Genomic DNA, 25,287 nt, shown 5'->3' on the forward strand with positions numbered 1-25,287 from the left:
GTTCTTCCAGTCCAAAACCTCTACAATCTAATTGGCACATAAGAGGTTAACAAAACTACAGTTTGTCTTACAATCTCTAAAGAGACTGTGGAAAATGTAAATACATTAATCAATAAGGGTTTCATAACAATCATTTCTTTAAAAGAATTACATAGAAGAGAAAAAATATTCAGAGAGATGCATAATACCTCAAAATATGCATAATACCTCAGATAACTTGCTGGTGGATTGAAAAGCATCTGAACTGTGCTATTTGCCCCCATAAAAAGAAAGCTTACTAGCAATGATGTCAGATTTTCTTCAAAAGTTATCTGTTTAAAAGATGGAATAAATGATATTTATGGTTCAAGGATATAAGTATTAAATTTTCTTCCCAATGAATGTAAGCTTTAGAGCATAATTTCCAATTTTATGGTTCAAATTCAGTAAAAGTAGGAAGTCTTATCTGCACTGTAACATCTAATTAAATACATAAAGAATAGAAAGATTTGAAATGAGAACCCACACCAAAAACATCATGTTCTCTGTCAGCGAAAGGTCGGAGAAAAGATCTGGGAAGCAGTGTGAAAATGTAGCCCATGCCTGTACTGACAACCTTTTATTGCTCCCTTCACCCTATCTAGTTATGAATTTCAGCAGACAGAAATATGGGGTGGGGCTCAGAAGACTGTGAAATGATTTACTATTGGAAAATGCCTTGCTGCCTAGCGCAAAGCTATACCAATAACTCCCCAAAATGTTTGAACAGAAAAGAGCAAATGAAGGCATTTGGTCAGAAAATCAGGATTCAAATTCGGGCTTTACCAGACACTGAGCTATGTAACATTGATTAAGCCACTTCATATCCATTTCCTCATCAGTAAAATGAAAAGTTAGGTGTGTGTACACACATACTAATTTTAATCAGTAGGTTAAGTATAAAAAAATAGAAAACTTGAAGAATGGGAGACAGTTCTGTATTCACACCAACTTACAAATAACTCAATGCAATAGCTTTTCGTGAGCAGTCTCTGTCTCCCAGCAACTGTCAGATGCTTGAGACACAGAGATTAATAAGTGGTTTGGTCTCCTCTTAAAAGTGAGCATTAAAAAAAGAAAGAAAAAAAAATTCCTGCCTTAATGAACAGACAATGCAGCTGATAAGACAACTAAGACACAATGAACCAGAACTACGAAATACAATGAGTTTAGCACGATGAGAGAGGAAAGTTCAAGTATAATGGGAACACACAGGAGGAAACACCACTAGCAAGATCACTAGTTCAAGTTAGACAAATCCTTCATGTATACGAAAAACCATGAGGATTTTATAGAGAATGCTCCACCAGGACAAGCAAAATGCAAGAGGTTGGATTTTAAGAGCCTAAGCTAAGTTTCTTAACACTCTTAATAATTATAATCAGTTGCTACAGCTAATTAGACTCAAAAATAGTCTAAACCAGAATCTTTTCAAAACAGAATCTTTTCAAAAACAGAAACACACAAAAATCTGAGACTATCTTATTTGAAATGACTATAAATGGTATTTTCACATGATTCTAAAACTAACAGAAATCCATTTTTTCTTCTAATACTACATTTCAATCTTATTTACTGATTTTGGTATTTGCTTTGGTAGAAAACACTGCTAGTTTTGTTCCCTACGCTTGACCTACTGTAATTTTTTAAATAACAACAAAAAAACCTTCACACAAGCAAAATGGAAAGTAGTGTTCTAAGTACATAAAAATTAAATAGTAACAATTTAACCAAGGTCACTAGAACCTTTTCGGTTTGTTCTCCACTTAAAAGCAGAGCATTTAAAAAAAAAAAGAAAAGGAAAAAAAAAGAAAAGAAAAGAAAAGAAAAAATGTGTATGTGTGCCTGTGTTTGGGATGGGACAGTCTCTTCTAGACTTCCTATTGAGGTACTTACAGTGCTGATCACAATCAACTCTGGCAAACACTACTTGATTTTCATTTGGAAATTCTTCCTTAATGACATCGGAAGCTTCCTCAAAAATTGGATGCAACATCTGACTGAAACGACACCTATACACAGAGAAGGATGCCAATTAGAAATGAAAAGCAGAAGTAATAAAATCTTATTTCCGTTATTGCCCACTGACATTTGATATAGGCATAATAAACGACTCTGCGAGATAATCACACACTTAATTTAATCATGGACCCTGACATCGTTCAATGGAGATGAAGACAATTTTAAGTTCAAAGACTGTATACCAATTCTAAGAATGTATAATAGATTTTGGTTTTATTCATCTTAAGACAATTGCCAGTATTATGGAGCACACAGCTAAGGATCTCTTGCAGAGGTCATAAAACAAGTCTGAAATAAGCCCTCTACAAAGTACTGTTAGGATTTGTAACTACTGAGGCTTGAACATTTATGAAAAATTAGCTTTCTCTATTTTATTTATTTTTAATTTTTTTTGAGACAGGGTCTCATTCTGTTGCCCAAGTTGGAGGGCAGGGGCACAATCTGAGCTCACTGCACCCTCCACCTCCAGGGCTCAAGCAATCCTCCCACCTCAAAATAATAAAATTTTAGACTATTGTGTAAAATATTTTAACTGTATTGCAAATATTAGACCTCTCCACCTGGCTAGTTCTATCAAATCTCACAGGCAAGTTAACACACTAAATAAATAAGTTATATTAAAAGAATATATGGTATATAATTAACTATTTCCCCTCAAAATTTACCCCTTGATAAAATGGGCTTTTATATCTGTAAACATACTAAATACAGTAAGTCCAGAAGCAAATATCTTAAATTCCTAACCAAGACTTCCTGTCTATATTTTCTTTTTTCTTTTACTTTAAACACAAGGCACAAACCCCCACAATATTCTACAAACTTGTTACTTCTAACTGTCCCTTAATCAAGCCAAACATTTCACAAATACAGTCATGTGGTGTTTAACGACAGGGATACACTCAGAAATACACCATTAGGCGATTTCTTCATTACGTGAACATCATAAAGTATACTTACACAAACCTAGATGGTATAGCCTAGCATGCACCTACACTATAGGGTATACAGCCTCCTACTGCTCCTAGGCTACAAACCTGTACCACATGTTAATATACTAAATACTGTAGGCAACTGTAACACAATAGCAGGTATCTAAACACAGAAAAGTTACAGTAAAAATACGGTATTATATATGGGACTTCTGTCATTGACCTAAACATCATGTCATGGATGACTATGTTCTAGGTAATTAAAGGGACCCAATAAGAAGGGGAAGAATCAGAATTAGCAACCAGCTGGGTTAGAATGGCCATTCTCTTACGGAAGAAGTATTAAGAATATGTAAACAAACTACAATTGCTACTGTTGCTTCCAGAGCCCTTTTCCACCAAATTTACTTAAATGATGTCAGTGAACAGTTTAATCCACATGTAATTAGTTCATACATATTAGCTTTAATACAATAAAAATATTGGAAAGCCTGTGAAAGGATGCAAACATTATACTTCCTCCCTATTTCTTCTTGTATATATATATCTCTTCTAGCCCACTCACCTGACTTCCTAAGGAGATGTCCTAGAATATATCAAGGAGACACATCTGTATCTTCAATCTCTTGCTTTCAAGTGGCTCTTTCCTCTTTTAGCATTCTTAAATCTCTCCCATCAGGGATAAGAGGATGGGGTCTGTGGACATCATGGACCGTGTCTTATTTGACTATGTATTCTAATAAACATTCAATATATGTATTAAATCAATAAATTGATAGAATGGAGGAACTGGAGCGGCTAGGACCGCAGGTTTGTGGGTTCTTACAGTTCGCTGAAAATAAGGTAGCTGGAGGGCAAGGGAGGCAAGGAGTAGGGGCTGATTAATGGTTTCTTGAAAAATTTAGATCTGACCTAGTGAAGAAAGAGCGGGCAAGCCTCTTTATGGCTTAAGGGCGACGTAAAAAAACACATCAAGGGCTTCTTTTCTCTAGATTGTCCAGTTTGCCACTCATTAAGTATTTAAGCATGGTTCATGTTTAAAATAGGACCTGTCTTAATACAGGTTGAATGCCCCTAATCTAAAAATTCAAAATGCTTCAAAATCTAAAACTGTTTGAGCACTGACAAGATGCTCAAAGGAAATGCACATTGAAGCATTTTGGATTTCGTATTTTTGGGGTTAGGGATGTTGAACCAGTAAGTATAAGGCAAACATTACCAAATCTGAAAAAATCCAAAAACTGAAACACTTCTGGTCTCAAGTATTTCAGATAAGGGATACTCAACCTGTACCAAAAGACGAAAAGGGAAAATGAAATAAAAGTTCAATTCCATAATTACTGTACCTTCATACATGTGTATCCATACACATGGAAATGTTACATTTATAAAAGGAACATCACAAAAGCAATGGATCTATTAAAAGGGCCTAAGGGTCATCTAAACCTAATCTTCCATCTAGTGCTTAAATCAATCCTTAACAAATCTACCAAATAGATAAGTCTTTGCAGAGACATTTTGAGGGCACTTACTAATATGATCTAGTTAGAGAAAAAAATAAGCTTTGCAGTTAGGCATACCTGAATTTAAATCCCAGTTCCACCACTTACTAGCCATATGACCCTTCTGAGCCTCAATTCCTCAACCTAAAAGGAAATTATAATACCTACCTACAGAGTAGTTCTGAGCATTAAAAAAAACCTATGTAAAGAGTCTGGATGGGGATGGTTAATGAGTACAAAAATATAGTTAGAATGAATAAGATCTAGCAGGATGACTAAACAGAAATGTATTGTACATTTTTAAATAACTAAAAGAGTAAAACTGGAATGTTTGTAACAAAAATGATGAATCCTTGAATTAATGAATACTCCATTTACCCTGATGTGTGTTTTTTTTGTTTGTTTTTGTTTTTGTTTGAGACGGAGTCTCGCTCTGTCACTCAGGCTGGAGTGCAACCGTGTGATCTCAGCTCACCGCAACCTCCGCCTGCTGGCTTCAAGCAATTCTCCTGCCTCAGCCTCCCAAGTAGCTGGGATTACAGGTGCCTGCCACGTCCGGCTAATTTTTTGTATTTTTAGTAAAGACGGGGTTTCACCATGTTCGTCAGGCTAGTCTGGAACTCCTGACCTCAGGTGACCTGCCCGCCTCGGCCTTCCAAAGTGCTGGGATTACAGGCGTGAGCCACTGTGCCCAGCCATGTGATTATCCTACTTTGTACACCTCTATCAAAATATCTCATGTGCCCCATAAATATATATACCTACTATGTTCCCATAAATATTAGGTAATTTTTAAAAAATAGTCTGGCACAAAACAGCATTATTAACCACCTACTACAGTATTACTCAAGGAGCTGCAGTATTTTTAAGCACCTCTATTACAGAATTATTAAACTGTGCCACATCCATAACTTCCAGAATGAACTCAGAGTCTAGACTTTGAGGCCACATAGTATTAAGTCTATGTCTTACAGCCAATTACCCAAGCTTTTTCAGCCATATAAAAGAGTATTAATTCATCAACAACTTAAGGTATTCTTTAGGTAATGTTTTCCCAAATAACTCAGTCCATGTTTCCAATTCAGTTTTTTCAAAAGATCAGCAGCACATTCTATTACCCTTTCTTGCAACACACAAAATCTCTCAGTCAGGAGAAAGTCGTTCTAGTTTTTCTTCAGACATCATCTAGTTGGGTAACCTTGGGAAAGTACTTCAATCCCCTGGATCTCAGTTTTCTTATTTTAAAATGGATTGGACTACATAATCTTCTACCAAATTTTTTGGCTATTAATACATCTTGACAACCCTAATTTACTTTGAAAAATGCTACCTTTGAGACATATTTTATAAACAGCATTTTCTCTGTGTATCTTCAACTTTTTACTAAAGTTCTTTAAATAATCATACCATATATACATTCATTCAGTAGACATTATGTACTTATCAGCCACATTTTAAGCAAAGTGCTTGGGGATTAAAGTTGAAAATAAAACTATGGTATGTATTCTCACAGAGCAAACAATGTAGTAGAGAGTCACCAACTAGGATTATAGCCTACAAGTGTTATGATTGGGTAAGTATGGGTGTTACCGGAAATAACAGAAGGGCTCCTAATCAGAGTCAAGAGTAGGGGTAGGTGTATTGATCCAGGAAGATAACCTGAAGAAAATGGCATCTAATCTAAGACTTGAAAGATTAGAACTTAACTAAGTAAAGAAGTGGGCGACAGAAGAATGATCCATCCAGGCAGGGGAAATATCATGCCTCACAGTCCAGTGATGAAATACAGAATTTTATAGGAATTGAAAGAAGTTTAGTATAACTGGAGCAGAATGTGGAAGTGGAGAGAGGCCAGACATAACAGCTACAGAGGGAATAAGAGACCAGTTCATAAGGGGCCTTCTGGGTCAAAGTAAAGGATTTAAACTTTAACCCAAAGGTAATGGAAACATTTTAAGGGCTTTAAGAAGGGGTATAAACTAATCTTATTTACACTGTAAGAAAGATAACTCTGGCTTACATTGTAGAGAACAGAATGGAGATACGTAAGACTAGAGGCACAGAAAAGAAATGAGGAGACTGTAGCATGAATTTTAAGTAAATGACAGGACTGTGGCCTGGAGTATGGTAGTGACAGCCAGTAGGTAGTAAGCCTTAAAGGGTCAGATAAGATACAGAGTGTCTAGGGATAAAGACTATGCTGAATCTTTCCAGCTAAATCTCCCTTGTGTTTCAGAATCTTTCCAGCTGAATCTCCCTTCTTCCTATCTCCATGCCATATTCTGTAACATCTACTATATACCATGTTGTTCTAGATGCTGGGAATACTGAGTATGCCATTATCTCTGCCCTCAAAGTTTGTTTGCTAGGGCACAAACAAGAAAAGACAAAACATTTAGTAAGAAAAAGAAAGTGGTACATAGGGTACTGTATAAACACAAAAGACAGAGGCAGCAGATTCTATAAATTTAAAAATGTCAACATTATTTTTCCTTCTAAACTTGACATACCCAAATCATGACTTATAAACACTACCCTTCTTCCACAGTCAGGACAAATACGGAATTGCAATATGTGTTCCCTTTGAGTCGGGGGTGGAGAGAGTCATATTTGAGTTATATGTTACTTGTTTTAAGATATAAGATAACAGAATCAGCTCTATTTCTTTCTTAAAACAGAAATCCTTACCAAATTAAACTACTTCCCTTGTGGATGAAACTTAATTGACTTTATGTATGGAATACTGTCTTGAAATAGAAAAAGCCTTCCCTTCCCCTTTCTAGCAAAGAAAAATTAACCTTTAGCAAGTAAAAACAAAACCAAACCCAAACAATAAGATTACTTACCAGTCAGCATAAAAATTTACTAAAGCAACATCAGCATTGTCTGAAATTGAAAGACAAAACCAAATAAGATATTTGTAATAATTTTGACATAATTAAACATACAGTTTCATTATGATCTTTGTCCAATATAAGGGTCCACTTAAAAAAACACAGTAACTATTATCTCTCACTCAGAAACCTAGAGTCATGGACAGCTTATATAATTTATGGGAAACTTTGTCTCTTTTCTCTGTATGCTTTATCTTTATAAGTTCACTGTATCTTTTATTTTATGGAGACTGGGTCTCACTCTATTGCCCAGGCTAGAGTGCAGTGGCATGATCAAAACCCAGTGCAGCCTCAAACTCCTGGGTTGACGTGATCCTCCCACTTCACCCTCCCAAGTAGCTAGGACTACAGGCAAACACCACCACACCTGGCTAATTTTTGTATTTTTTTGTAGAGACAGGATCTGGTTATATTGCCCAGGCTGGTCTCGAACTCCTGGCCTCAAGCAACCTCCCACCTTAACCTTCCAAAGTGCTGGGATTACAGGCATGAGCCATCACACCGGGCTTCCTTCGTTGCATCTTAAATGAATTTAAAGCAAATGTGAAATAAAGTCCAGATAAGGCAAGTAAGCTACGATCATAAAAAGTAAAGTGGAATGATCTGTATTTTATTTTTTGATCTTCCATATTCATGAATAACTGAGAATTAGTTCTGCAAATAAAATCCCACATCACAGAAAAGACCTGTATAACTAAGTTATTTTTAAACCTCACATATACCACCTAGTTGCAACAAGTAATCTACAACTAATAGTGTTGCACAAGACGCCAGTTTTTTAATTCCTATCCATTTAAGTTATTCCCCCCTACAAAAATAACAGCATCATTTGCACATCAAGATGTAAAGACATGAGAAAGATGTAGTGCTTTTTGCCTATCCCTAATTCAGAGAAACGTAAAGTCCTCAAGCACTCATGAAAATAAAACACAAAGATATTCTAGAATTGGAAAGATGACAGAAGTGAGAATGACATGTGAGTTTCAATTCCTTTCTTCCCTTTTTACCTTCAAGTTACTTTTTATATACTTGCTTATTCGCTCTAAAGCAGTGGTTCACAAACTGTGGTTCCTGGACCAGAAACACCAACATCACCTGGGAACTCACAGAAATGTAAATCCTTAAGAAATGCAAATCTTTAGGTAGGGGTCTAGCAGTTTCCTAGCAGTATAGATATTAATAAGTGTTCCAGGTGGTTCTGATACATGCTAAAGTTCATGGAACCACTCCTCTAAAGAGACTCCATAAGACAGGAATAGACTTTTAGCATTTAAAGGTCCAGGAACATAATATATTACACTCAATGAATGTTGTAACTCCTTTTGCCTCTATTATATGTGTCAGATGGAGGATTAAAAAAAGAAATCATTTATGCACACTGTACATTTTCTTAAAGCTCCTAAGTTACGATTTTCTATCAACCACATCTTCACCTTTCCTTTACTATTTTTAAAAAACAAGAAATGGTTTCTCTCAAGTTAATTATATCCACAACCACATTGTCAGCAAACAAACCATTCAGTAAAAAACTTATTAGGCCAAGTGTGGTGGTTCATGCCTGTAAACCCAGCACTTTGGGAGGCCAAGATGAGAGGACTGCTTGAGGTCAGGAATTCAAGACCAGCCTGGGCAACATAGCAAGACCATGTCTCTACAAGAAAAATTTAAAATTAGCTACGTGCAGTGGAGCCCACCTGTAGTCCTAGCTAACTTGGAAGGTTGAGGAAAGAGGATTGCTTGAGCCCAGGAGGTGGTCAAGGCTGAAGTGAGCTATAATATTATCATGCCACTGCACTCCAGTCTGGGTGACAAAGCAAGACCCTTTCTCTAAAATAAAAAATAAAAAAAGTACTGAGCTTAACTGGACCAATAACAATAAAAGAGATCAGAATAGGTGATCTAATTAAAGGGAAAAAAGAAAAAAAAGTCTAGGCTGTGTCCTAAGGTCATTAACATTTAGTTCTGCACAGTGAGAACTATTGGTCTCTAAGTAGGCTTATCAAAACATTTCGTGAATTGTTAAGAATGGTATCTATATCAAGTTAAATAAATAAAAAACACTAAAAGTAACCAAAAGTGCTTTGATAATTCAGAAAGTCATGGAATTAATCAGAATGCCAGCTCTTCATCTGTGCTAGCTAACTGAGATTTTATTGGGTTTTTTTTTTGTATATATAAACTAACTCTCTATAGAGAAGAAAGAGTACACTTTAAAAATATTGAGGTACTTACTTAAAATTTCATCTATATTCTCTGTATCAAGACTTGTTATTTCAGTTGTTACAGGAGTAAAAACCCAAGTTACCTGAAAATTTAAAAAATGAGAAATTAATAAATGTGTCCACAAAAGACAAATACGTAAAAGCGAAGTCTAAAAATAAATGTGTGATTCCACTTGTTCCTTAGAAAATTATACATCAATTGAATTGAATCTTTATTATCTAGTCTAATCTTTTACTAGATAAATGAAATAGGAGAAATATTAGCTTCTCAAACCTAGAAATTGGTCAAATAAAACTTTCTATACTTGCAAATATACAAAATAGCTTCTAAGGAATTAGGAAAACTGGGAATATACATATCTTTTCAAATTAACACTTTCAAGAACTTTATAGCACCACAAGAAAAAATTTGTGAGATTATCAGTGTTTAAAGTATAAACATAAAAACCAAAGCTAAGTCTGCTGATTCTATCCTGCCATGTTTCTAAGACAGAAGAAAATAATGAAGAATGCAAGAAAGACTTTTGCAAGTTGTAAACCAAAAGCCCTTCCGGTATAATTTTCACTTATTGGTGACAACAATGTGTTACATGAGAGGCTATTAAAAAGAAAATAAGAATGTTTTTGCACTTTAATGAACCTGAAATCCAAAGTTCAAGTTTATCAAAGAAAATCTTAGCCTCCCATCTACAAAACAAAGAAAATATAAAATTTTAAACTAAACTAGCAAATGTTTACTTATTTTAAAAAGTAAAATTTAGTGTATTTTATTTTTAGTTTCCAACTTCAATGACTTGGTGTTTGCTGCCTGAAGAGATTTTTGTTTGAAATAGAGTTTGTGTATGGAAATTCACTTACTAAATCATTGCTTTTTACTGAATGACAACTAATGTCAGGCTCTGATCAAAGTGCTGAAGACTATTCCTTTGCCCACCCATTTCCTGAATACTTCAGCACTTATGACAGACTCAAAACTTTTATAATTCACCAACAATTCAATCTAAATGCTATAAAGAGATACAATGATGCTAGTATATACATAAGCCCAACTAATTTTTAAAAATATTTCTGGGCTGGGCATGGTGGCTCATGCCTGTAATCCCAGCACTTTGAGAGGCCAAGGCGGGCAGATCACAACGAGGTCAAAAGATCGAGACCATCCTGGCCAACATGGTGAAACCCTGTCTCTACTAAAAATACAAAAATTAGCCGGGCATGGTGGCAGGTGCCCGTAGTCCCAGCTGCTCGGGAGGCTGAGGCAGGAGAATCACTTGAACCCAGGAGGTGGAGGTTGCAGTGAGCTGAGATTGCACCACTGCACTCCAGCCTGGGCAACAGAGCAAGACTCCGTCTCAAAATATATAAATAAATATATATATAAATATTTATAAAATATGTATAAATATATATTTATAGAAATGTATATATTTATAGAAACGTATATATTTATAGAAACGTATATATTTATAGAAACGTATATATTTATAGAAACGTATATATTTATAGAAATATATATATTTATAGAAATATATATAAATATATATATTTATTCTGTTCTTAGGAAAGGCCTAAGGATAACACTGTCTTATTTTTAAATTACCATTAACGGTGTAGCCAATAACTATCATGTCTGTTAGCAACCAATAAATTATACTCTCCTAAAAGTAGGCTAAATAATTGCAAATCTCCAAATATTTGACTTATAAAACTAATTTCATTATTTTCAGTGCCTCAAACATTAACTAGAAAGATCAGACTTCCCTCACTAGTCATTAGTTACTATTGATGGGGTTTAGAACACATTACTCCAAAATATGGCACATTGGCATTTGAGGAAATAGCAGAAGCAAAAAGGTCTCCCTGACCTTCTCCTGCCCTTCTTCCCTAAAACAGGTCATAAAATAATTCTCTGACATTACTCTAAAGTAGGTCTTAAGACCCCGCTAAGAGACGTATCCTCTAGACCCTGAGAAAAGGAATATCCCAATCTCTGCGGACACAGAGATACCAAGAAGAATCTAAACTAACAGTTTCCCCAGTTTATTACTATTAGATCATACCCCCTTTGTCCAGTCGTATGTCTGTACATCAACCTATGAATAAAAATAAAGTTTTTCCCACTTCTTTGGGTTGTAATTTCTGAAGGCTCCCATGTCATGTAAAACTTATATTAAATAAATTTGTATGCTTTTCTCTTGTTAATCTACCTTTTATTATAGGAGTCTCAGATATGAACCTAGAGATGGGTAAGAAATCTTTTCTACTCTACATTATCAATGTCTTAATAACAGATCCTGGCTTCATAAGTATCTGACCAGTTCTAGATAACTGTGGAACCCAATAATATTGGTAATAGCAAGATTTTACACCTGTGTGCTAAAGAAAAACTTAAGAAGGCAGAAAAATATTATCATAGAACAATGAAGTTGGCATTATTGAAGTCAAGTCATTAAATAATTCAATAATATTTACAGTGTCTACTAGGTACTGAGGGCACAAATGCATACGGCATGGTGTGCGCTACCTCAAATCTGGGTAAGTGGTATAGCCATCACTCAAACATCTATCATTTCTTTGTGTTGGGAACACTCCAAATCCACTCTTTTGGTTATTCTGAAATATTTTTGAAGAGTTAATTATCATCTATCAAAATATGTAGAGAGAATATATGTTTAAAATCTAAAGTTAATAGCTTTTTACTAGCTGGACACAGTGACTCATGCCTATAATCCCAGCACTTTGGGAGGCCAAGGCAGGAGGACCCCTTGAGGCCAGAAGTTTAAGACCTGCCTAGGCAACATAGCAAGACCCTGTCTCTACAAAAAACTTAAAAAATTAGCCAGGCATGGTGGCACATGCCTGTAGTCCTAGCTACTGGGGAGGCTGAGGCCACTGGATCACTTGAACCCAGAAGTTCGAGTTTGCAGTGAGCTATGATTGTGCCACTGCACTCCAGCCTGGATGACAGAACAGGACCCTGTCTCACAAAAAAAAAAAAAAAAAAGAGAGAGAGAGAGGGAAATTGATTTTACCTTGAAATACTTACATGGCAAAAATATTTACATGCTAAGTAATGGCAAAAATGAGGCAATGATCAATTTGGCTGTATTAAATAGATAACTATTACTTTAAAAATACTGTGCTAATAAATATGCAAGTGATAAGATTGGTATTTTGCTAACAGTTGTGTTTGTTAAGAGGGCCCAAAGCAAGAAAACTCTCTGACCCAGTAATCTCTGCTCCCTGTAGGGTGTAAAGGAGGCAGTTTCCTGTTAGCTTATCATTAACATTTCTATTAATATGCAGTATGAAGGGAAAGACGGGTTGTTTATTTGAACTGTTAGTAAGCTCCACTAGTCGGACAAATTGTTTTTTTTCCTGTCAGCCCTGGGCAGCAACAAGATTCTCCCGGGAAAACATCTTCATGTGTCAAATGCTATAGTGCTTAAGTAAAATAAAGTATGACTCCAGACCATAAAGCTTTTGATAGGGATCATTAATTTTTGTTTTCAATTTAGACTTGAATAAAACTTTTAAATTTACGTTAAAAACAAAATAAAAACTTACATGGAAATTTTCATAGATCTTAATAGTCATGAAGAATATAGTCTCTAATGATGAAATATTTAGACAACATATACAAATATACAGATATGAACTTAGGAAGTATTTTACAACTTGGTCATTCTCTCCAGCTTATTAGCTCATTTTCTTGCCAAGAAAGCAGAGCAGAGTGGCATCTTTAATCATCTCTCATAATTCATTAGATAACTCCTCCATGCATTTACTGTACCAACTATTACAACATTTCAGCCTAGTGATGGGATCTCATATAAAAAGGCATACCAGTAAAATGGCAAATACCATACCCAAATTCATTTAAAAGACTAATAAAAGTGAAAGGCTAGCTTTCAATAGCAGGAGCTTCTTCAGCAAGGAAAGAATGTTTTCTTCCATTAGATGGTTATTAAAAATTTATATCTCTCCCTGCTCTGAACACCAAGAGCACTTTCTATAGGGTGTTAACATATTATTCTGTCTTTAAGAAACAAATTAATTCTATCCTTAAATTAGTTATTTGCACTGGTGTCTTACTTCCTCCAACAGACGGGGAGTACCTTGAAAGTAGAGACCACCTTATTCAATTTTGTATCCCACAGATCACTGTACCCTGTTTGTACACAAGAAACATTCAAATATGTACTAAATGAATGATTAGATGGATGAATAGGTAGATGATGTTAACACACTAAGAATTTAGAGAGACGATATTGGATATGAGAAGTAGGAGGAAAAGGTCCAGAAATTGAAATTGCGAACAAACATTTTAACATGTTTGAGGAAACTGAGGTTATCAAATAAAAATAAAGTCTATACTATAATTTGGTTTTAATTATATAATAGCAAAAAGCACACCACTTGGTGATGATCCACAGACTTAGAAGGAATCTCACAAAGGATCTTCCCACCTATTGCAGAAACCCCTCTACATCACTACTTAACAGTTGGTTCCCCCAGCTGTTCTTTGGTACGATTTCCAGGCACTTCAGCACATACAGTCACACTGCATAAAAATGTTTTGGTTAATGAGAGGCTACATATATGACAGTGGTCCCATAAGATTATAATGAAGCTGAAAAATTCCTGGAGCCTCTTGATGTCTTGATAATCCTGACCCTGTGTAGGTCTAGGCTAATGTGTGTATTTTTGTCTTGGTTTTCAACAAAAAAGCTAAAAAGAAAAAAATATTTTAATAAAACAAGCAAACAGAATGAGGTTATAAAGAAAGATGTTTTTGTACAGCTATGTAACGTGTTGGTATTTTAACCTCCATATTATAACAAAAGAGTCAAACGTTTATACAGTTAAAAAGTTACAGTAAGCTAGTTAATTTAGTATTAAAGAAAAAAGATATTTTAAAATACGTTTAGTATTGCGTAAGTTTACTGTTTATAAAGACTACAGTAAGGTACAGTAATAACTTAGGCCTTCTCATTCACTCATCACTCACTGACTCACCCAGAGCAACTTCTAGTCCTGCAAGTTTCATTCATGTTAAGTGCCCTATACATGTGTATAACTTTTTATCTTTTATACTATATTTTTACTGTGTCTTTTCTACGTTTAGATACACAAATACCATTGTATTACAATTACCTACAATATTCAGTACATTAACATACTATACAAGTAGCCTAAGAGTAATAGGCTATTCCATATAGCCCAGATGTGTAGTAGGCTATACCATCTAGGTTTGTGTAAGTATATTCTATGACGTTTGCACAATGACAAAATTGCCTAATGACACATTTCTCAGAACATATCCCCGTCATCATGCCATGCGTGACTGTACTATATACTTGAAAATTCCTAAGAGAGTCTATAATATTCTCACAACAAAAAAAAATAAGTATGTGAGGTGACAGATATGGTAATTAGCTTCATGTAATCATTTAACAATGTATACATATATCAAAATATCTCATTGTACATCATAAATATACACAATTTTTGTCAATTATACCCTAATAAAGCTGCATGGTGGAATAAAGCAAATCATCCATAAATTACCACAAAACAGAAGAAGAGTTATATTACATTAGTGGATAAAAATTCAACACTTCTTGTACAGTGCTATAATTTAAGGTTTTTAATTCAGTCATGAAAATAAATGATTTGAGACTTTCAGGACTAGAGGCTAATAAAACATCAGGTAAAAGAGGTTATCAAACATTACTCCTGTTAATAAGATTTCTAATTCATAGACGCATTAGCTAGGTGTCAAGTGTTTTCTTAGAATATCTTAGTAAATGAGTTTAGAAAACAAGAAGTATTTCTAGTGAGTTTGTTTATTTAAAGCTCAATATCTTAAAACCTTGATATTTAAAGTGTGGTCTCTGAAACTGCCACGCTGGTATCACCTAGGAGCTTGTGAGAAATAGAGAATACTAGGCCCCACTCTAGACCCACTGAATGAGAAGCTCCACTTCAGTAAGATGCCCAGTTGATTCCTATGCACACTAAAGTTCAGGAATACTGTTTTGGAAAGCAATTTTTTTTACTCTAGGAGCAAGCGTGTAAATTCATTTTAAACTCTGTACAATGTTTTTGATCCTCAAATATGAACACAAGTACAAGTAAGACTCATCTGTGACAATGCATTGACATGCAAATTGCTGTGCTTTTAGAAAAATGTAGAATGAATCTGTAACCTATCAGAGATGTACATAGATGTTAATTTTTTAAAGTATACTGTCTTCTGCTCAAAAAAACAGCTTAAACAGATATTTCTGCATGAAATCACTGTCATAAAATAGAAGCTTCAATAAGGGATGTTTCTTTCCCTGTGGCATTACTGTTCTCAGTTGGCAGTACATCTGCTAGGCATTCTGCTGTAATAGCTTAGTGTATTTTTGCTAAATCTTTCATTGACTTGCCTTTCTGTTGGGAGATTCTCAGAGCCCTTTCTTTACAAACTATGTCTCTCCTATAGCAAAAAACAAGCAATGTACCAGGCAACAGTTATCTTCCATTTCTAATCTAGATTGACAAGTCAGCCTACCATCTGAAGTCCCAATGCCCTGAGACCTAGGCTGCTTCTCCTCCCTGGGGACCACTTCCCTGACTCCAATCAGTCCACTCTTGCTTTCAGTTTCGCATTAAGCTCGCAGATAAGAGAAGTATAAAGGTTTCCAGTTGGCTTCAAGGAGCAGGAGATGTTGAAATGTCCCTGGAGAAAAGAAGCTGAGGCTGACAGGAACTATAAGGGCCTTGAAGTTGGGTATCAATCAAGGCACATCTCACACTATTCACATTCCCAGAAGCACTATAATGAACTAGAAGTTCAAAGAGAGGGGAAAAATAGGACTAAGTATAGAATAACACTGGGAAGCCACTTTAACCCTTAAATTGTTCAGTAGTACAACCTTCCTATAGCATCAGTGCAACCCATCTTGGTCATGTGAGAACCAACCTGCATTTATAAAGAAACACTAGAAGAATTATAAGATTTCTGGACAGAGTGAGAGCCTGTCTCTAAAAAAACCAAACAACCGCTCTCGCTCTCGCTCTCCCTCTCGCTCTCCCTCTCCCTCTCCCTCTCCCCACGGTCTCCCTCTCCCTCTCTTTCCACAGTCTCCCTCTGATGCCGAGCGGAAGCTGGACTGTACTGCTGCCATCTCGGCTCACTGCAACCTCCCTGCCTGATTCTCCTGCCTCAGCCTGCCCAGTGCCTGCGACTGCAGGCGCGCGCCGCCGCGCCTGACTGGTTTTCGTATTTTTTTGGTGGAGACGGGGTTTCGCTGTGTTGGCCGGGCTGGTCTCCAGCTCCTAACCGCGAGTGATCCGCCAGCCTCGGCCTCCCGAGGTGCCGGGATTGCAGACGGAGTCTGGTTCACTCAGTGCTCAATGGTGCCCAGGCTGGAGTGCAGTGGCGTGATCTCGGCTCGCCACAACCTCCACCTCCCAGCCGCCTGCCTTGGCCTCCCAAAGTGCTGAGATTGCAGCCTCTGCCCGGCCGCCACCCCGTCTGGGAAGTGAGGAGCGTCTCTGCCTGGCCGCCCATCGTCTGGGAGTTGAGGAGCCCCTCTGCCTGGCTGCCCAGTCTGGAAAGTGAGGAGCGTCTCTGCCCGGCCGCCATCCCATCTAGGAAGTGAGGAGCGCCTCTTCCCGGCCGCCATCCCATCTGGGAAGTGAGGAGCGTCTCTGCCCAGCCGCCCATCGTCTGAGATGTGGGGAGCGTCTCTGCCTGGCCGCCCCGTCTGAGAAGTGAGGAGCCCCTCCGCCCGGCAGCCGCCCCGCCTGAGAAGTGAGGAGCCCCTCCGCCCGGCAACCACCCCGTCTGGGAAGTGAGGAGCGTCTCCGCCCGGCAGCCACCCCGTCCGGGAGGGAGGTGGGGGTCAGCCCCCGCCAGGCCAGCCGCCCCGTCCGGGAGGGAGGTGGGGGGGTCAGTCCCCCGCCCGGCCAGCCGCCCCATCCGGGAGGGAGGTGGGGGAGTCAGCCCCCCGCCCGGCCAGCTGCCCCATCCAGGAGGTGAGGGGCGCCTCTGCCCAGCCGCCCCAACTGGGAAGTGAGGAGCCCCTCTCCCCGGCCAGCAGCCCCGTCCGGGAGGGAGGTAGGGGGGTCAGCCCTGCGCCCGGCCAGCCGCCCCGTACGGAAGGTGAGGGGCGCCTCTGCCCAGCCGCCCCTACTGGGAAGTGAGGAGCCCCTCTACCCGGCCAGCTGCCCCGTCCGGGAGGGAGGTGGGGGGGTCAGCCCCCCGCCCGGCCAGCCGCCCCGTCCGGGAGGGAGGTGGGGGGGTCAGCCCCCTGCCCGGCCAGCCGCCGGGCCAGCCGCCCCGTCCGGGAGGTGAGAGGTGCCTCTGCCCGGCCGCCCCTACTGGGAAGTGAGGAGCCCCTCTGCCCGGCCAGCCGCCCCGTCCGGGAGGGAGGTGGGGGTTCAGCCCCCCGCCCGGCCAGCCGCCCCGTCGGGGAGGGAGGTGGGGGGGTCAGCCCCCAGCCCGGCCGGCTGCCCCGTCCGGGAGGGAGGTGGGGGGGTCAGCCCCCCACCCGGCCAGCCGCCCCGTCCGGGAGGGAGGTGGGGGAGTCAACCCCCCACCCGGCCAGCCGCCCCGTCCGGGAGGTGAGGGGCGCCTCTGCCCGGCCGCCCCTACTGGGAAGTGAGGAGCCCCTCTGCCCGGCCAGCCGCCCCGTCTGGGAGGTGTACCCAACAGCTCACTGAGAACGGGCCATGATGACAATGGCGTTTTTGTGGAATGGAAAGGGGGGAAAGGTGGGGAAAAGATTGAGAAAACGGATGGTTGCCGTGTCTGTGTAGAAAGAAGTAGACATGGGAGTCTTTTCATTTTGTTCTGTACTAAGAAAAATTCTTCTGCCGTGGGATCCTGTGGATCTGTGACCTTACCCCCAACCCTGTGCTCTCTGAAACATGTGCTGTGTCCACTCAGGGTTAAATGGATTAAGGGCGGTGCAAGATGTGCTTTGTTAAACAGATGCTTGAAGGCAGCATGCTCCTTAAGAGTCATCACCACTCCCTAATCTCATGTACCCAGGGACACAAACACTGCGGAAGGCCGCAGGGTCCTCTGCCTAGGAAAACCAGAGACCTTTGTTCACTTGTTTATCTGCTGACCCTCCCTCCATTATTGTCCTATGACCCTGCCAAATCCCCCTCTGCGAGAAACACCCAAGAATGATCAATAAAAAAAAAAAAGAAAAAAACCAAACCAACCAAAAAAAAGAAAAAAGAAAAGAAGCATTTATATGTACTGTATATATATTTGTAAGTGCCTGCTCTACTTACTGTGCAAATCCATTTCTTAGAATACTCTACAAAACTACTTTCAGACATTAATAATTATATAGGTACAAAGATATTTACTAAGGCTGTCTCTCCCTACTTGGAAAGCTGAGGCAGGAAAATCACTTGAACCCAGGAAATGGAGGTTGCAGTGAGCTGAGATTGAGCCAGTGCACTCCAGCCTGGGTGACAGAGTGAGACTCCATCTCAAAATAGATATATTTATTTCTAATAGTATGAATTACCCAGTTCAAATAAAAAAAAAATTATAAGATTTCTTCGTTAAATAAGTCAAAATATGGTGCAGAAATGCTTGAGAAAACAAATTCCATACCTCCAAAAAGTTCAAATATAGATAATACAAATCCTTAATCTCAAATTCTGCCAGTAAAAACAATCATGGACAAATAAAAAGAAACAAAATTTGTTGCAATTCATACTTTTTCTTGAATTTTAGTTATTTGATCATGCATGAATTTCCATTAAAAACTGATGTTATCTGTGTTTCGTTCTTCAGCGTATTTAAAAATGAGATTAACTAATTTACCTGGAACAGACAATGTATTTTTCTCTGACCTTCAAAGAGTATATTTTTGTTATAAAAAGTTTTTCAGAGCTGGGGGTGAACTTCTCAATGTGCGGAAAAAAATTATTCTCTTAAAATCACCACATTTTGCTCTTCTAAAACTCAAACTTCTAGCAATGGCAGTACTAACAAAGCATGGGAATTGGAAGAAAAGTCAAGATGAGAATTGTGACCATTCTACTTTGTGCTGCACTGTAATTCTTACCCAGGAAACTTGATGAGAGAAAGTTACCTTAAGAGAATCTACATACATGTTGGTACATACATCTTTTGTTCACTCACTCCTTCCACAAATATTTCACTGAGTCATCACAGTGTCAACATGCTAGACACTGTGAAAAACATAATTTGTACATGGTTACATTAATCTTACAAACTTCATTTTCACATTAAAAATAAAAGAGAGAAAGAAGGTTCTCTCATTCAAATATTTTAATTTAAAAGTCATCCATAATTCCTGCAAAGTCATTATATATTCTCTAAAGAAGATAACTGCTGGGCATTAAACCATGAGATTACTTGTATGTCAGTACTCTGTTTTTGCCTGGGTTTTCATGAAGCTTTGAATTAATTTTAGTGCAGAATGAATGTATCCACACTGTTACTGAACAATCTTTTAACATCACTAAAAGTGGAACAACCAAGTATTCTGCTTCTTGATGGGATGCAATACGAAACAGAAAGCACCACTTGTAAATATTCTTAACAACAACCAATTTGAACATGATCTCAATTTAATCAAGCCCAAGAAACTAGTGTATAAGAAACATTGGCTATAGAGGAACATCTTGTAAAATGACACCATGAGGATGCAAGCTGCCATATCGGATGACAGGAAATTTTACAGAAAACAATGATAGCCTATCTTCATTTGGCCTCCCCCCAGAAGTAGACTCTGAGACAAGGAGTTAAGCACAAGGAGTCAAGTATTTGGGAGATAAAGGAGGAACAGAGAAGTGAGACAGGGACAGAAACTCAGAAACTCAGGCAATATACTATAGCAGGTGAGCTATAGTATTGGTATACTAAACTTTGGAAATACCAATGTTTTCACTTGACTTTTACACAATTTTTCAAAGTTTATACTCAACAGATTGTAGTATCTCCTAAATTATATAAGGTTTTTTTTTTTTTTTTTTTGAGACAAGGTCTTGTTCTGTCACCTAGGCTGGAGTGCAGTGGCATGATCTCGGCTCACTGCGACCTCCACCTCCTGGGCTCTAGCAATCCTCCCACCTCAGCCTCCCAAGTAGCTGGGACTACAGGCATGTGCCACCACATCCAGCAAACATATAACATTCTTTAGCCCTTTTACTAGCTGTTGCTATTGGCACACACATTTCTACACTCCAAAGTATGAGGAAAATATCTCCTATGTGTCAAAGAATGCCTTTATTTCATTACTAAACATGTGGCCCTGACTGTTTTTGGGTGAGTAAATGGCCTTTAAGGAAAAACTGTCTTCAGTGAAACCTTGGCTTACTTATTTTCCACAGTCACTTAGTTCCAGAATCACTCTCAGACTTCCTAGTTTCTTATTCTTAAGTAGAGTACTGTACGTATTCTTGGGTAAAAATGTTTTTATTACCAAATCCCCTAATGATTCCATTACTATATATATCCAAAGTATTAATCCACTACTGACTTTAAAGATCTGTATTTTTTGGCCAGGCACAGTAGCTCACGCCTGTAATCCCAGCACTTTGGGAGGCTGAGGCAGGGGGATCACATGAGGTCAGGAGTTTGAGAGCAACCTGGCCAACATGGTGAAACCCTGTCTCTACTAAAAATACAAAAAATTAGCTGGGCGTGGTTGCGGATGCCTGTAATCCCAGCTACTTGGGATGCTGAAGCAGGAGAATCACTTTAACCCGGGAGGTGGAAGTTGCTGTGAGCTGAGATCACGCCATTGCACTCTAGCCTGGGCAACAAGAGTGAAACTCTGTCTCCAGAAAAAAAATAAACCTCTGTGTTTTAAAAATTACATTGTTACTTCTAACCAAATTAATTCTAAATATCAATCAGAAGTAGTCCTTGAGAGGCCATATACTTCTTGAGGTGCCTATCCTAATTAATGATCATTAGAAGAATCTTTAATGCTGTCCCATCTGCCACACATACTGTTTGAATTAGCTTTGTAAAGCAAACAGATTTATCTTTCATTTAGTCTAAAATACTCCCAGTGACAGTCTCAAAGCTTTCTTATATATTAAGGGTCACTAAGGTTGATCTTCATTACTACCACATAGTAGTTCAGCTTTCTAAGCACTTTTACCAAAAAGCTAATCAGAGAATGACCTTGGTGTGTTAAAAGGAAATCTGAATTTAGGAATCTATCTCCTTTGCTCATGTCTGTCCTCACTTTTGTACTTGCTGTGAGATGGAGGTACAGAAAGAAGAAGTAAGCATTGGCACAATTAGGAATATACTGTTTACTTTAATCCTCAAAACCATTTGGGAGGTAGAGAGAAAAGACCAACAAGCAGGGACAAAGGAAGAGAACTCATTTTTCTAAAAAACAGAACTAAAAAACAAAAAAGTTCTCTAACTCTCTCTTTTCTTCTTTTGAGATAGAGTTTTGCTCTTGTTGTCCAAGCTGGAGTGCAATGGAGCGATCTTGGCTCACTGCAACCTTCGCCTCCCTGGTTCAAGCGATTCTCCTGCCTCAGCCTCCTGAGTAGCTGGGATTACAAGTGTGCGCCACCACGTCTGGCTAATTTTTTGTTTTTAGTAGAGACGAGGTTTCACCATGTTGGCCAGGCTGGTCTCAAACTCCTGACCTCAGGTGATCTGCCCACTCTGCCTCTCGAAGTGCTGGGATTACAAAAAGTTCTCTAACTCTCTATCTTCTGGAGTTTTGAGGCAGTCAATCAACCTTAGAGGTAAGAAGGGCAATCTTCCAAGTCCCTGAGTCATCCACAACCTTCAAACGTTGAATCCTTCTGAATTTTAGATTTTTATAACATGTATTAATTAAAATAATGAGGTATAGGATGTCCTTAATTTCCTAATGTTTGAACTTCATGCTGACTCTTCAAAATTGCCCACTGAATATATGCTGCCTTTGGGCTTTAATGAAGCAGTTGACAAACATTTCAAGCAATTTTAAGTGGTGATTTGGATCTGGTAACAGTTCATTTCAGTCAAGAGGCAGATGATTTAAAAATAAGTACCCTGTAACAAACTCAAAACTTCCCAAGTACGGTTTCAAAGAGAGTATAAGCTTACATAATTCAAATTAAGAATTTCACATTCTATAGCCAAAGAGAATTTTAAAAGTAATGCATGATCAAGTTTTTTTTAAAAAAACTAAACAATTGGTCATTGTTTTCTTCTGAATATGAACTCTCATAAAAGCTTGCTTTTATAACTGTTACATAGAATTAGTTGAGATTATGATTAAACTACAATTGACCTTCTGCAGTCTATGAGTTGGGAGTCAAGAGACCTAGGTTTTGGTACCAGCTCTACCACTCACAATGTAACCTTAGGCATGCATTTCTCTACCTCCTGACCTCAGAGTTCTATTTGTCCATAAATAAGCTGAACTAATAATCTAAGGCTGCTTTTGATTCTGATGTTCTAAGATTCAGCAGAGATGTGGAGACGCCTTCTTTCAGTGGAATTTGTCTTCCATTGAAGATAAACATTAAAATCATTACTGGACTAAAAACTGTTTCACAAGAAATCATTCTCACATTTTTGACAAATACACAGCAACAGAAATTTTCAATTACATTCTACATAGGTGAGACTACATATACTAACCTCTAAGAAGTTAATATCCAAATGTGTGTTATCATCTAACAGCAGAGGCTTTTCAAACTTTTTATGACCATGATCCACAGCAAGAAATACACTTTACACTGCAGTCCAGGAAACAGAAACACAAATAAAAGTTTCTCAAAACTACCTATCCTTACTACATTCAATGCACAGTAGTATTTTCTATTCCTATCCTTTTAATTAATGTTGAATGTAAGCCCAATACAACAAATTAATGTATCCCAGTTTGCAGTTCCAAAAATACTGCTCTAAAGACTATTATACACTTATTCAAACAATACTGCTCAAAATATTTTGGAGAGAAAATCTCCTTTGGAAATCCCTTAAAAAGCCATGATCCATGCTTTTCAACACACTCCATCATTACAAAGCTAAGACTTTTGGGGATTAATCTTTCTGAAAAGGTAAATTTCGCTAGAGCCAAATGTCCAAAGTGGGTTATCACAGGAGTCCCCAAACCCAAGGCTACAGACCAGTACTAGTCCGCAGTTTCATCCTGAAACTATCCTCCCCACCCCCGTCAGTCTTCCACAAAACCACTGCCTGGTGCCAAAAACGTTCAAGACTGCTGGGTTATCACACTGAATAACACTATTCAGAATATTCTGACTCATGTAGAGCTCTAGCATTGGCTAATTAATCACGGTGTTCCTAGGAGTGAAATTGATAGGAAGCCTACTGCATTCCTACTTAATTTATATAAGGAAAAAACTTGTAGGTCGAATGGACAAAAGACTAATTTGAATTATAAACCGAGAATCATGGCCCCTCGATCAATTTCCAGACTTGAGCCAGTTTATAGACCCAGAACCCCTTGAATGAAGGGGAGGCTGAGTCCCCTTGAGGAAGGACCCCACTACACTACCAACAATTTATGCAGTGAATCTTTGTCCCATCCTTCCCCAAGGAGACCTCTGGCCTTTTACCAGGGTAACTGTGCATTGGAGAAAGGGAAATAATCAGACATTTTGGGGACTACTGGACACTGGATCTGAGCTGATGTTGATTCCAGGGGACCCAAAATGTCATCGTGGTCCTCCAGTTAAAGTAGGGGCTTATGGAGGTCAGGTAGTTAATGGACTTTTAGCTCAGGTCTGACTTACAGAGGGTCCAGTGGGTCCCCGGACTCATCCTGTGGTCATTTTCCAGGTGCCAGAATGCCTAATTGGCAGAGACACACTTAGCAGCTGGCAGAACCCCCACATTGGCTCCCTGACTGGTAGGGTGAGGGCGATGATGGTGGGAAAAGCCAAATGGAAGCCATTAGAGCTGCCTCTACCTAGAAAAATGGTAAGTCAAAAACAATATCGCATCCTTGGAGGGACTGCAGAGATTAGTGTCACCATCAAGGACTTGAAAGACGCAAGGGTGGTGATTCCCAGCACATCCCCATTCTACTCTCCTATCTGGCCTGTGCAGAAGATAGATGGATCTTGGAGAATGACAGAGGATTATCGTAAGCTTAACCAAGTGGTAACTCCAACTGCAGCAGCTGTACCAGATGTGGTTTCATTACTTGAACAAATTAACACATCTCCCGGTACCCGGTATGCAGCCATTGATTTGACAAATGCTTTTTTCTCCATTCCTTTCCATAAGGCCCACCAGAAGCTATTTGCCTTCAGCTGGCAAGGCCAGCAATATACCTTTACTGTCCTACCTTGGGGGGATATCAACTCTCCAGCTCTGTGTCATAATCTTATTCGGAGAGACCCTGATTGCTTTTCACTTCCACAAGATATCACACTGGTCCATCACATTGATGACATTATGTTAACTGGATCCAGAGAGCAAGAAGTAGCAGACACACGGGACTTCTTGGTGAGACATCTGCATGCCAGAGGATGAGAAATAAATCTGACTTAAATTTAGGGACGTTCTAACTCAGTAAAATTTCTAGGGTTTCAGTGGTGTGGGGCCTGTCGAGATATTCCTTCTAAGGTAAAGGATAAGTTGCTGCATTTGGCCCCTCCTACAACCAAGAAACAGGCACAACACCTAGTGGGCCTATTTGGATTTTGGAGGCAACAT

The 25,287-nt window shown here is 38.8% G+C and overlaps 1 protein-coding gene across 1 annotated transcript in view, besides 2 other annotated features; it reads right to left on the reverse strand.

The window, feature by feature from the left end:
* Positions 1-25,287, reverse strand: part of ERP44 (endoplasmic reticulum protein 44) — a 119,816-nt gene that overhangs the window by 71,318 nt on the left and 23,211 nt on the right. Inside the window, exons 2-4 of the mRNA NM_015051.3 lie at positions 9,598-9,670; positions 7,318-7,357; positions 1,915-2,030 (exon numbers count right to left, since the gene is read on the reverse strand). Of these exons, the coding sequence (NP_055866.1) occupies positions 1,915-2,030; positions 7,318-7,357; positions 9,598-9,670 (229 nt within the window). The remainder of the gene's footprint in view (positions 1-1,914; positions 2,031-7,317; positions 7,358-9,597; positions 9,671-25,287) is intronic.
* Positions 8,343-8,402: an enhancer, noted in NCBI's record as "active region_28717". NCBI's record gives its function as "activates an Ori minimal core promoter by ATAC-STARR-seq in GM12878 lymphoblastoid cells {active_cell/tissue: GM12878}" and the evidence as "EXISTENCE:reporter gene assay evidence [ECO:0000049][PMID:35858748]".
* Positions 8,563-8,662: an enhancer, noted in NCBI's record as "active region_28718". NCBI's record gives its function as "activates an Ori minimal core promoter by ATAC-STARR-seq in GM12878 lymphoblastoid cells {active_cell/tissue: GM12878}" and the evidence as "EXISTENCE:reporter gene assay evidence [ECO:0000049][PMID:35858748]".

The sequence above is a fragment of the Homo sapiens genome, chromosome 9, assembly GCF_000001405.40.
Source record: "Homo sapiens chromosome 9, GRCh38.p14 Primary Assembly".
NCBI classification, from domain to species: Eukaryota; Metazoa; Chordata; class Mammalia; order Primates; family Hominidae; genus Homo; species Homo sapiens.